The 13,059-nt window shown below is 39.5% G+C and overlaps 1 protein-coding gene across 11 annotated transcripts in view, besides 1 other annotated feature; it reads right to left on the bottom strand.

Annotated features, from left to right (window-relative positions):
* The window catches only part of WDR48 (WD repeat domain 48), a 44,649-nt gene that overhangs the window by 4,243 nt on the left and 27,347 nt on the right, over positions 1-13,059 (bottom strand). For 10 of the 11 annotated variants that reach the window (NR_144400.2, NR_144399.2, NM_001346225.2 and 7 more), the window contains 7 exons: positions 12,614-12,711; positions 8,160-8,267; positions 7,681-7,777; positions 6,812-6,907; positions 4,189-4,294; positions 3,104-3,191; positions 721-797 (listed from right to left, as the gene is read on the bottom strand). Coding sequence is in view for 8 of the 11 variants with exons in the window: in NM_001346225.2 (NP_001333154.1) it covers positions 721-797; positions 3,104-3,191; positions 4,189-4,294; positions 6,812-6,907; positions 7,681-7,777; positions 8,160-8,267; positions 12,614-12,711 (670 nt within the window). In the remaining 3 variants the exon portion in view is untranslated. Of the gene's footprint in view, positions 1-720; positions 798-3,103; positions 3,192-4,188; positions 4,295-6,037; positions 6,122-6,811; positions 6,908-7,680; positions 7,778-8,159; positions 8,268-12,613; positions 12,712-13,059 lie in introns of all 11 variants that reach the window. The other variant, NR_144401.2, reaches the window with a different exon arrangement.
* Positions 5,972-6,031: an enhancer, noted in NCBI's record as "active region_19690". NCBI's record gives its function as "activates an Ori minimal core promoter by ATAC-STARR-seq in GM12878 lymphoblastoid cells {active_cell/tissue: GM12878}" and the evidence as "EXISTENCE:reporter gene assay evidence [ECO:0000049][PMID:35858748]".

Below are 13,059 nucleotides of genomic sequence, written 5' to 3'. Positions count from 1 at the left end.
CCTGATCACACTGTGTCCTGGACTTGGAATATCTATCTTTTGAAGTTCTACCAATCATTACATGTCCAACTCAAATTCCACGTCCTTCAAGAAGCCTTACTGGGAAGCTCCAGCCAAAAGCTCATTTATTTCTCTCACTCTCATTATTCCTTAAGTATCCATAAAAACAACTATTATATACAGGTTGGGTCCTAAACTGTGAATTAAGGCAACAGACAAAATGTGTGTTTTATTTATCATTTTTTTCTTAGAGACAGGGTCTCTCTCTGTTGCCCAAGCTGGAGTGCAGTAGCATGATCTTTGCTCACTGCAGCCTCAAACTTCTGATGATCCTCCTGCCTTAGCCTCCTGGCTAGCTTGGACTACAAGCGTGTGCTCCCATGCCCAGCTAATTTTTTTACTTAAATCTTTTGTAGAGACAGGAGTCTCACTACGTTGCTCAGGCTGGTCTCAAACTCCTGGCCTCAATTAATCCTCCCACCTCACCCTCCCAAAGTGTTGGGATTATGGGCGTGAGCCACTGTACCTGGCCTTATTTATTTTTGAACACCTGTAATCGGCCAAAGTTGGTACCTGGTAAGTGGTTTAATTGTATAAACTTTGAATATTATAAAATCAGCCTTAGATCTGGTATTTGCTTCCTTTGCTATAAAAGCAATCATAAGGAAAAGGAATTCTCTCTAGTAGTTAATTAGATCAAGAAACCATATATTTACTTACTTTTTTAAGGTTTTTGCTCCTGAAGATGCATGAGGTTGGAGGTAGAAAGGAATTTTGTTGAATTTGGGCATATTTTTCTGAAACAGTAAAAGTTAAAAAGGTATAACAGTTTCTATTAGTTGATAAATGAAAATAATGTTAATAGGAAAACATGACTTGCAAGTAATAATTATCTTACAATTAAAAGTGACTTTCTATGAAATGTATAGTAAGCTATCAAATTACCTAAGTCAGCCTTCGAGAAAATTCATCAGAAAAATATATGTAACATTAGAGGTAATATGAAATTGTAGCATGGCTCTTCTTAGATAACAGTACAAGGTATTAAAGGGAAACAAACTTTAATTTTTTAAGCCATACAAACCAGAATCTCAATTCTACATTAAAATATTGGAGTTGATACCTAAAGGCCCAAACAAAAACTTAAGTGTCTTGAGAGAAACCCACAGCATTCACCTTTGAGCAAAGCCACACATTCTGTGCTGGTGAGGCCCATCATCCAACTGAAAAGGCCAATCAAAGTCCTCCCATTTTCTTTCCCTCTGACATCACAGTGAGGTCTGAGGTGTTAAGAAAGAGTGGAAACTTCAGCCAAGAACCCAGATGTCTACCATGAAGTAAACCACATTCTTAGATGAAGGATAAAATTACGTGGTCATCTTTTCTCAGGGTATTAATCCCCTCCAAGCCTTCATGTCACATCCTGTCTGGATGTCTCCTCTCAAGAATAAGCCACAGGGCTAAAGTCAGCAATGCGTCCCAGGTGAGTTTCACACTCAAAGAAATTAGTGGCTTATGGGGTGCTCAGGCATAGAGAAGACCATGGAATATCCATCAGGTGTCACATTGGCTTTAAGTCTTAGAGGTATATCCGGGACAGAAAATAAAGTTTCTGAAGGTTCTAAAGATTAAATTCCTTTTCATATGGCTTTAGAAAGATACAAAATAGACCAACAGTACATAAGAGAGTCTAGAAGCAGACCCATGTGTATACAGAAATTTAGTACATGATAAACATAGCATCCCAGATAAGTAGAAAAAGGACAGATTTTCAATAAATTGTGCTAGCACACTAGCTGTCCCTTTGGAAAAAGTCTAAATCCTACTTCACACCAAACAGAAGACTAAATTCTAATAGATTAGAGAGCTAGACATAATTATCATAAAAGAACTAGAAGAGAATATAGGAGAATATTTTTGTTACTTTGGAGTAGGAAATACCTAAACAAGACATGAAACTAAGAGCCATCAAGGATCAATTTGATTATATAAAAAGTAAAACTTTTCACCTGGCAAAAGGAACAAAGTGAAAATTTAATTGAGACACAGATAATAGTTAAAGGGTTAATATTCAATATAAACCACCACCCCACAAATCAGTAAGAAAAATGACCCAATAGAAAAATGGGTAAAGAATACAAACAGGTAATTCACAGAAGAAAAACAAATGGCCAATATGAAAAGATGCTTAACCTCACTATTAATTTGTTTTTAATCCACATAAAAATAATGAGATACTATTTGCCTATTTTTTAGCAAAGATTAGAAGTATCCAGTGTTGGTGCAGGTGTGGGGAAATGGGCACTCATACACTGTTGGTGAGAATGTAGACTACTACAGCCTTTGTGGAGGGCAATTTGGCAGTATCTATCAAAATTTAAAATGTGCATAACCTTGGATCCAGCAATTCCACTTCTAGGAATTTATCCTAAAAAGCACACAAAGATATATGTACAAGGATGTTCACTGCAGCACTATTTGTAATAGAAAACATTGGAAACAACCTAAATGTCCATTAATAGGGGACTGATTAAATAAATTATGGTACATTTATACAGTAGAATCTTACACAGTCATTAAAAAGGAATGATTCACATGTACAGACATGAAAAGATGTACAGACATGAAAAGATGTCCAGGATACATTTTTTTAGGTGAAAAAAAAGTTGCAGAACAGTATAAGAGATTTTGTGCAATATAAAATGAACTGTAGACACATCTATGTACACAAATAATATATGCTTGTATGCAAAGAAAAAAGTACTGAAGGCTATGCATTAATTTATTAATAGTTGTTACCTCTGGGAGGAAGGATAGGGAGTGAATGGGCAAGAATGAATGCTTGGGGAAGATGAGAGCTTCATTCATTTATTATTTTGTTGAATAAGCATATATTATTTTTATAATTAAAAACCAACAAAGCTAGATAGATAAATAATTATCAGTACTATTTCTGCAACTTTGGAACTGCAAGGAAGCAGATGGGGATTCCACTTGGGAGTCTAGCTTTTATTAAGGTTTAAAATTATAATGTCTAAAGCAGTTCTTAATTTCATGAGTTACAAAAAAATAAAAGAGCAAAGTGGGAGTGGAGGATACTTACATCCACAGTGATGTCAATTACCCATTGTGGCACTGTTTCATTAAGAAGCATAGACTCAGTCTCACCCCCGGAATCTCGGCAGAGCAGCCTAAACATAAACCATCAAGTAGTAAGTAACCCAACAAGCACAGATGTCAAAATCACTGTCAACAAATATTAGCGGGAGGAACCCTCATGGTTTTCATGTAGGATAACCCCCACTTGACAGCTGAGGAAATAAAAGTACAGCCTGGAAGAATGACTCACTCAGCTAAAAGGGAAAGCAGGCCCTAAAATCAGGCCCCCAGATTCCAAGGCCAGGCATACACTACAGCTGCTTCTTGGAGTCCTTGGGTGATGACAGGAAACCTGGGTGCAAGCAAAGCACCCAGTAAAGGTCCCCAGCTAGTGCCACAGTGCATGGCAGAGACTTTCACACACAGTGGAAGTCAGAATATTTCTGGTAACCACTCAGGAAACTATCAGAAAGATAGATAATCCTGCACTCAAGAATAAGACAAGCATGTCTTATTCTTTCTTTCTTCTGGCACCTATAGACTAGTAAGCTCTCCCCCGGCTCTACCAGGACCTTGCTAGCAACTTGGAGGTGAACCAGTCCAGCCCTTCCCTGAAGGGCCCCACACATAACTGTCTGGCACCCCAGGCAGTGTCAGTGTCAGCCTCAACAGTTCCCAGGAGCAGCCCAGCTCATCTTGGCTGGATCAGCCTAAGAAAAGTAATGTAATGTACTCTGAAGCTCTTCTGTGGGCAGGGAATTCTAGTGGTATCATCTGTTGCTTGGCCCTTGCAGTCACACGGGCAAAGTGAAGGAAAGTGAGAATTACCTACAGAAACCAATAGAGAAGCTGCTTCGAGGCAAAGTATTCTACCTCATTCGAACACTAGAGTTTCTCCTCCCAATTAGAATGTGGTCTAACAGCAGCAGACATTTCACTATCTCATGGACATGGGATGCTTCCAATCCCTGGCATCCCTAGAATTTAATAATAAACTATTTCTAATATCGAAATACTGAGTTTGAGTCGACACTTCTTAGCAAATGGGATACCTTCTCAGGCAGAACCTCTTGTCTTTCTTACCCATACCTGAACAGTGTGCGACCTCCAGCTTCACCAAAGATCACGGGTGTATGTGGGGGCACTTGAAAATATCCATTTCCCTTCTGCACTCGGTTCTCCTGCTCCCCATTTACTAGGAAAAGATGCAGGTGGTGTTAATATCAGAGTTAGTGCTAAAAATACAGATTCTAAACATTTTACTCCCACAAGCTTCAAACATTGCAAGATTAAATTCAAATGTCCTCTAAGTCCACCAGAGTTAGAAATAAAGGTTAAAAACAAGTTAAATTTCTGAAAATAAGAAACACAGCAACTTGTGGTCTATTTCATGGAAAAAATGACTGTATTTTAGAGGATTTTAATAAAAGAGATTAATGTTTGAGATTCAGAACAAAAACATAACCAGCTACTTCAGCCACAAGGAAGTCTAGGACAGCCTGTATATAAACGAAGATCTAGAGTTTTTTTGTTTTTGTTTTTTGTAGAACACCAAGCTCAGAAAAATTTCTTGAGGAAAAAAAAATTACATTTAATGGCAGCCATAACTAAAGACAGAAGCATTTGTGAAAAAATCCTCAAGGAGTCCACAATTTTGCTTTTATTGTTCTCTGCAGATTTCCTTTCCACTGTTGTTTTTTCTTTGAGACGGGGTCTCATTCTGTTGCCCAGGCTGGAGTGCAGTGGTGTGATCACAGATCATTGCGGCCTCAACCTCCCCTGGCTCAAGTGATCCTCCCACCTCAGCCTCCTGAGTAGCTGGAACTATAGGCACACACCACCACAACTGGCTAATTGTTTACATTTCTTGTAGGGACAGGATCTTGCTATATCGCCCAGCATGGTTTCAAACTCCTGGGTTCAAGGCTGCTGGGCAGGGCAGCCTAAACATAAGCCATCAAGTAGTAAATGACCCAACAAGCACAGACGTCAAAATCACTGTCAACAAATATTAGAGGCCTCCCAAAGCACTGGGATTACAGGTGTGAGCCATCACGCCTAGCTCCATTCTGCTTTCTTCATAAACTTTTGACCCAGCACAGGTGGGTGATACCAACTCAAGTGCCAATTCATTCATGACACTTTCCTCATCAAACTGGAAGCATCTGACCCCCTGAAATCCTATAGCATTTGTGGAACCTCTCTCCTAGCACCCTTCTATCTCAGAATGCTTTCCATAAGTAACTCTCTGCCATACCAGAACATCAGCTCCTGAAGGACAGGGACCATACCCATGTGTCTTTAGTACCCCCACCTGAAACTTGGTAAGGGCCCCTGAATAGTAGAGCTGCTCACCAAGCACCATCTGAACAACTCCAGAGTGTCCACTGAGTATGCTGCAGGTGCTGTGGTCTGAGCTCTGGATGAGGAAGTAGCCATGCCCTGCCCTACCTTTCCCATGCAGTCTGATGTTAAGGATGACGTGATTTCTGGTGATGTCTTCCTTATACTCCTCACCCAAAGCCTAGATCCAAAGGGTGCATGACTATACCACTGTTTTGATAACTTAATCCTTATTGCTTATTTGGGTGGCTGAGAGTATCCCATCTAACTGGAAATGATTTGCCCACAGCAACATAGCTGTTAAGCAGCAGAGCCCACCCCAGAACCTAGCTTTCTTGACCCTCTGTGGAAAGATTTTTCCATCAGTTTCTTTAGCTCAAAGTCCACTGTACAATTCTGACAGGGATCAAAGTGTGTCAGGTGATGTAAAAGAAAAGCCACCATGGGTGGGGCAACAGCACCCTCTCTCTGACAGGAACATCAGAAGACTGGTTTTCAAGGAAGCATGTCATCCTCATGTGAGAGATTTAAATTCCACATATCATTATGGGTGAATCTGACAGCCAGAACAAAGTCCCTGGCAGGAGGTACTCGCCATTGTTGCTCACTCCTGGTGGCCAGCAGAGAATCTTCAGCAGAGTAAGCCTCAGTCGATGGGACTCAATGATTCCTCAACCAGCTGTAGGTTACACATGAGGATGTGAAATTCTAAGTTCTTGTTTCCCCTTCCTTTGATCAAACTGAGCCAAATGCATATATTCAAAACATGTTCTCCTCTGCTGCTCAGGGAACGTTACTGCCACTGCCTATGGCACACACACGTTTCAGATGTCCTCAGTGACATTAATTCTTTACACATGCTTGAGCATATGCCCTGTCACTTCTGAGTTGGAATTTGAATTTTTTTTTGAAACAGAGTCAAAATCAGGTAGGCCATGAGACTAGGAAATACCAACATTTCAGCCCAACATGAAGAGTGACTATGCAATGACAAACCTGGCTTTCTGATGCAGCTAACTACCTAGCTTTGGAGGTTAATCCAAAAGATCAGAGGTACCTTGAAGAATATTTTGGAAATAAGTCTGTTAAGGTGCCTCATTTTAAGACAAAAGTCATCTGAATATAGAGTATTTTATTTATCTTGAGCAGTCTCACTAAAAGCCATATCATAAGGTGGTCTGCTCTTTTGGAATCTCAGTCTCAGTTAAGACTGGATGGATGTTCCTACTTTGAGATATGGAAGAGAGGACAATAAACTGAGTACACCACAAATATTTTAGCTAACGGTTTAAGTAAGTACCTTTTAGTAAGTACCTTTTAAGTAAGTACCTCTAACTTTTTATGCAACTATCTGAATATAAAAACTAACCATGGTTTACTTCATTTTCCTCTTCATCCATTGGATTCACATGTGTTCTAGGCCAATATTCCAGGAGTGCTTGGAGTAAAAGTCCTCCTAAATTCACTGCAAAAAAGTTAATTAAAAAGAGATAAAATGGAAAAGCGAGTTACTTGGCTTTAACCTAAAAATAGAATAAAAATTGTAAGTTTGTACATATTCTGATGTTACATTCTTAACCCAATGCGAATGATGTCTAAAATAAAGACTTTAGTCATTTTGCCAATTCTGCTAAAATTTTATCTTAGAATGTTTAAAGCAATGATGCTATGGAGCAAAGACATATTCTACTTGGTTGTTCAGATACAGCTATTATTTAAAAACAAACATGAGAATCAGATTTTTTTTTTTTTTGAGATAGAGTCTCGCTCTGTCACCCAGGCTGGAGCGCAGTGGTGCAATCTCGGCTCACTGCAAGCTCCGCCTCCCGGGTTCACGCCATTCTCCTGCCTCAGCCTCCCGAATAGCTGGGACTACAGGCACCCGCCACCACGCCCGGCTAATTTTTTGTATTTTTAGTAGAGACGGGGTTTCACCGTGTTAGCCAGGATGGTCTCGATCCCCTGACCTCGTGATCCACCCGCCTCGGCCTCCCAAAGTGCTGAGATTACAGGTGTGAGCCACTGCGCCTGGCCGAGAATCAGATTCTTTAAACGGCTATTTCCATATGAAATTACTAAAATGATTTGTATACATTAGGTATTTGTACATACCACATTTTTAGGACATAGTCAACAAAATATAGAGAACTTTTACAAAGATAAGTACTTAGCAAAAAACAGCTCATATTCATCTTCTCTTTAGAAGGGAGGAAAAAAATGAAGGACACTTAAACTCACATTTTGGATCTGACCCATCAGGGCTGCTGAAACCAGCATCTTTTGCAGAAACCCAGGCAGCAAAACAATCACTTTCATCCAAAGTAATAGTTAACATCTATCAAAAGAAAAAACTTAGTGGCATCCCATTTGAATATATTCTCCAAACAAGTCTCTAAACCTTCATTTATTTGTACTATTTGACTAAAGTGCTAAGTCATAAATTCAGGAACCAAAATGTGTTTTGTGTGATTCAATGCAACAACACAATTTAGTTTCCTGGGATACCAAAGGCATTTTGTAACTTTTAAATTTTTTTCTTTTTTAATATATTTTTAATTTTGTTTTTTTCTTTTTTATTCCATTTTGCATTTTAAGTTTTAACACAAATTTTTTTTTTCACACCTAAAAACACAGGACTCTGTAACTAATAATAATTATAAGCTATAATGAAAATCTTCAATTATCCCAAATCATACAAGTATCAATTGCTAACTTACCCCTGTTTTTAAGTCTACTGAGAACCAATTTGGCACATACACCATTTTAAATCTTTTCTTAATTTCATCTTCAAAATCCACTTTGCCCAGATCTTCAACTTTACATGCCTATACATCAAAAGAAAGTATAATGATCAATATTAAGTGGTGAATTCACTTGATTCTGACTTTGCTATTCAAAATTTTACATATTTTCACATGTGTCTAAGTGAAACAGTCTAAAATACATTTCAAAAAGAATGTGGTCCTTTTTTAAAATAACAATCTGCTGCTATAAAAAATTTAAATTAAAAAAGCACAAAATAGTATTTGGGAAGAAACTGTATTTAATTGTGCTGATATTGATATAATATACCACCTCATCTTAACAGCAACGTGGCTCTTTCGAGGGTCCCAGTTGTCGGCCATCTTCTCAAAGGGGGACTGCTTATTTTCCCACATCCCATTGTTCCTTGATGCTCCATGGAGACCATTACTCTACCATCTCCCATGTAAAAACTTATTTCTCTGAGGCCTATGTCATTTAGCAACAGTAAACGGTACACCTTTCCTTCACTGCCATCTAGCAACCTGCCACTCTCCCTCATTTACTGGAGACTTGAGCCCTGGGGTCACTGTCTTGCAGTCCATCTCAACTAAATCTCTCTTCTACCTCTGACCTTGCCACCTTCCCCATTATCCTCAGCACATGACTCTGATTCCTTTTTCTCAAAACAAAGAGAAGCCTTGACAGAATCCCCTTAACTTTCTCTATCATTCTCCCTGGTGCAAGGAAAACGGTGTCCCTTCTGACTGTGCTCCGGTCCCCCTCACCTCTTGCTTCTTGGGATGACCTTGTATTGTCATCTACCCATGAATGTCTCTACTGGCTTCTTCCCAGGAGCAATGAAATATGCTCAAATTTCTTACATCTGAAAAATACCCAAATATCCAAACAAAACCAAACAAAATCAAAAGCTTCCTTTGGCCCTCTGACTCCTACATCTTCTCTAGTTTCCGCCGCTTCCTGCCTACCCCTCCAATCAAATTTCTTCAAAGATTATCCAGTCAAATTTTCTGTTTCTTCACCTTCAAATCACTACTCAACTCACTCTACCTGGCTTTTGCCCTTAAGACTCTACCCAGAGGCCACCCTCTTTATTTAAATCCATGATGTTAGTCACATCTTAAATCAACTCACAGCAGGTTAATGCCACTAACCGCAAGCTTCTTCTTGAAACACTCAATTAGTTCTGGAGCTGCCACTGGCTCTTCATTTTCTTACTCCCCCGCAACTTTTTAAAATCATATACTATTGTGGCTTCCTCTTTTCCCAACATCCCTGAAAGACTGATGACTTAGTTTCTTCTCAGTCTACATATGTCCCTTGGAAACTCTGACATTTCCTATGACATCAAACTGTAACCCACAAGCTGATGACTGCTGAGCCTTTTTCTCCAGCCCAGTTCTTTAACTGTGCATGAGACTGTACAGCTGTCTGCCCACCAAACACCTCTATTCAGATATCCCACAGAAACTCAAATTCAACATCTTTCTCAGCATGTCCTTTTCTCCTGATAACCTGTTTTTCATCTTACATTCCCTACATCACTTCCATTCACCAAACTGGACAATCAAGAAATCTGGGACTCATTCTTGCTTTTTCCTTTCCTCATACTCCTTTCATTAAAGTATCACTCCTGTGGGCAGGCACGGTTGCTCATGCCTGTAATCTCAGCACTGTGGGAGGCCAAGACGGGCAGATCATGAGGCCAGGAGATCGAGACCATCCTGGCCAACAAGGAGAAACGCTGTCTCTACTAAAAATACAAAAATTAGCCCGATGTGGTGGTGCATGCCTGTAATCCCAGCTACTCGGGAGGCTGAGGCAGGAGAATCGCTTGAACCAGGGAGTCAGAGGTTGCAGTGAGCTGAGGTTGCGCCACTGCACTCCAGCCGGGGCAACAGAATGAGACTCCGTATCAAAAAAAAAAGAAAAAAAAAAGTATCACTCTTGTTCACAGGCCTAAATATTTTCCTAATCATTCGATTTTTTCCATCCCCCTTGTTCCCACCCTAGTCTAGACAAATATCACCTTTCACCTGTATTAGTGCAACAGCCTCCTATTATGTACCAGACACTGTGCTTCTCAACATCACCAATAATAGGCACCCCCGACATTTTAGGAATGAAGAAACCATTTTAGAGATGTTCCCTAGCATATTCCGTAGATCACTTGGCGAGTATTTGGCACAGCCAAGGTTAGAATGCAGCTCTGTCCAACTCCCAAGCCAATGTTCCTAAAAAACTCCTGACTGTCCCACACTGTTTAGCCACGTCTATTACACCAGATCATTTGATATCAAAACTTCAAGGTCTAGATATGGGAAGCTGCTAGGTACACAGAAATGCCAATCATGATGTATGCTGGCCCCATCTAAGTAGAAGTACCTCCCATTCAGACAGCAGGATTCTACTCAGGCCTCAGTTAACCAGACCAAGAGTGGGCAACAGACCCATATACAGAAAACAGATAGGTCAACTCTCAAAGAGGAGCTGGCCTGATCAGATTCTCTTGGGTATTCTGGAGACAATTAGGTCCTGGGCAGCATGAGGCGAAGTCCAGCCACAGGACAGAGTTAGGGACACATTTGTGGTAGAGTATCAAAGTGAAGAATCAATAATTTCTGCTGATGAGTTTCTTAGGGCTGTTCTGGATCCTGCCAGTCCCCAAGAGAACCCTCTCTGAAATCAATGTGTTTCTACCCCCACCCCCAACAGGCATCTCTCTATTGTAGAGAAAAACTAATCAGATTTTTGAAGCTTGCCGCAACTAAACTTTCTACTCAAAGAACTAAAGCCTCTCATTCTGAAGCAATGCTCACCAAACAACTGTTTCATAATGGACTTCCCACATAGATGTCCCACAGGGAGCAAAAATGGTAGTCAAGCCAAGGTTTCTGTTCAGTGACAGTCCCTTTTTCCTAGCAAGAAACTTGCCTGTCTTATTCTTTAGTTCATTAAGTGAATCTCTTTTCTTTATAACCAGGAGCTTAACCAAAATACCAGCTGTTTTCAATTCTTCCTTTATAATAAGCTCAACACCTGTCTCGTCCTTTATTTTTATTTATTTATTTAACCTTTCCTATGGTGCTCATGTCTCTTCCTTTAGATCTCCAATCATGACGTCTTCCAGCTTTCAGTTTCCCATTACATACACTAACAACTACTGCCCTCAACATGAGATTTTCCTGCTCTAAAATTATCTAAGGTTCTTCTAGGAGTACAAAAGAAAGGCCAACTTTGGGTCCTGCAGCTTAAGGCTCTTTGGGAAATGACCTAAATGTCATTTTTCAATCTTACACCCCTGTTACTTCCTTATATTTACTCTGGTCTCCAAATAAACAAAACTGCTCACCTTGCCCCAAATAAGCACATACCATCCTTTTCCTGTGCCTCTGCCATTCATTTCCTTTTCCTGAAATGCTCTTCCTTCTACTCCCATTATGCATCTACTGGAAACCTTTAAGTCCTTGTTCAAATGATTTCTCCACCACGAAGCTCTCCTGACTTCCCTCATCCATAAGCTATCCTGAAATCTGTTCCTTCTTTATCTATAAGGTTTTCCCATTCCACTTGTCCCTCCTACCAAAGGGGATCAAGGTAAAGACTTTTTCATCATTTATGACCCTCAAGCATGGTTCTTTGCACATGACAGTCATTCCATCTAGGAAATATCTGTTGAACAAATGAACAAGTATACCAACAACACTAAGAGAGAGACTTGTGAGAATGATAAAAGCAGACTAACTTTTTAATCTGCCTACAAATGCTTCACTGCTATTTGGAATGTGATTGAATAGCTTCATGCATTTCAACTGTCCCAGAAGGAGTTATTGTAACATGACCCAGAGTTGTAACTAATGCTCATAGTGATGTCTATAAATCCTAAGAAACAGCCAACCTTATTGTGTGCACTCCAGTGTGTCTCATCTAGGGTGATTTTACACCATTCTTCCTCCCTCCAAACATCTGGCAACATGTGGAGACACTTGTGGTTGCCACACCTAGGGGGAGGGAGGGGTATTACTGGCAACTACTGGGTGGAGGCTAGAGATGTTCTAAACATCCTACAATGCATGGAATAGCCCCCTACCTGCCCCCTCCTCCACCTCCAAATAATTATCTGGCTTAAGATGTCAATAGCTACAAGGATGAGACTTTTAAGGTAAGGCAGCATATAAGATTGTCTGCAATACACTAACCAGAGAAAATGATTCCATTTAAACAGTTTATTTACTTAAAAAGATGAATTATGATCTTATCTAATATTCATATAAGAAAGTATATACCACCCCATAAAGTATTACTGCAATTACATCTTAATTTATATTATCTTATCACATACAAAAAATAAAAAATAAAGGGGGTATACAATCTAACAACCTATATTTAGCCCAAAAAAAATACTCACCTTCAATACATCCCAATATGCCACATTATTATTGGTATCTTTGGTTAATATATGTCTCTTATCATTAAGAATGTGGCACTGAATAATACTAGCACCCCCTAATGGGAAAAAAAAACACAATTGGTAAAACAATCTTTCTACATTTAAATTCATGGTGTGGTAACAATTGTTAACTGGTATCTAACAGGAACATAAACTGTACTAGCTACTAGAAAGGAAAAGGCAAACCTAAAGACTATATAATTATATCTAAAGCAATTCAAGTCCCATAAATTATTTATGTCCATTTATAAACATTCAAAGAAAAACTATCTGATTTTAATAATACATTATGGATTAAAGGGCTCTTCATGTCAAGGGGGTACTAGTGGAAAATTGTTGAGGGACAACAGCTTTATCCACTGGGAAAAGTCAAAATGATGACAGGAAGTCTCTGTATTAGTCTC

The sequence above is a fragment of the Homo sapiens genome, chromosome 3, assembly GCF_000001405.40.
Source record: "Homo sapiens chromosome 3, GRCh38.p14 Primary Assembly".
NCBI lineage: Eukaryota > Metazoa > Chordata > Mammalia > Primates > Hominidae > Homo > Homo sapiens.
This window is presented reverse-complemented; position numbering and strand designations above follow the sequence as displayed.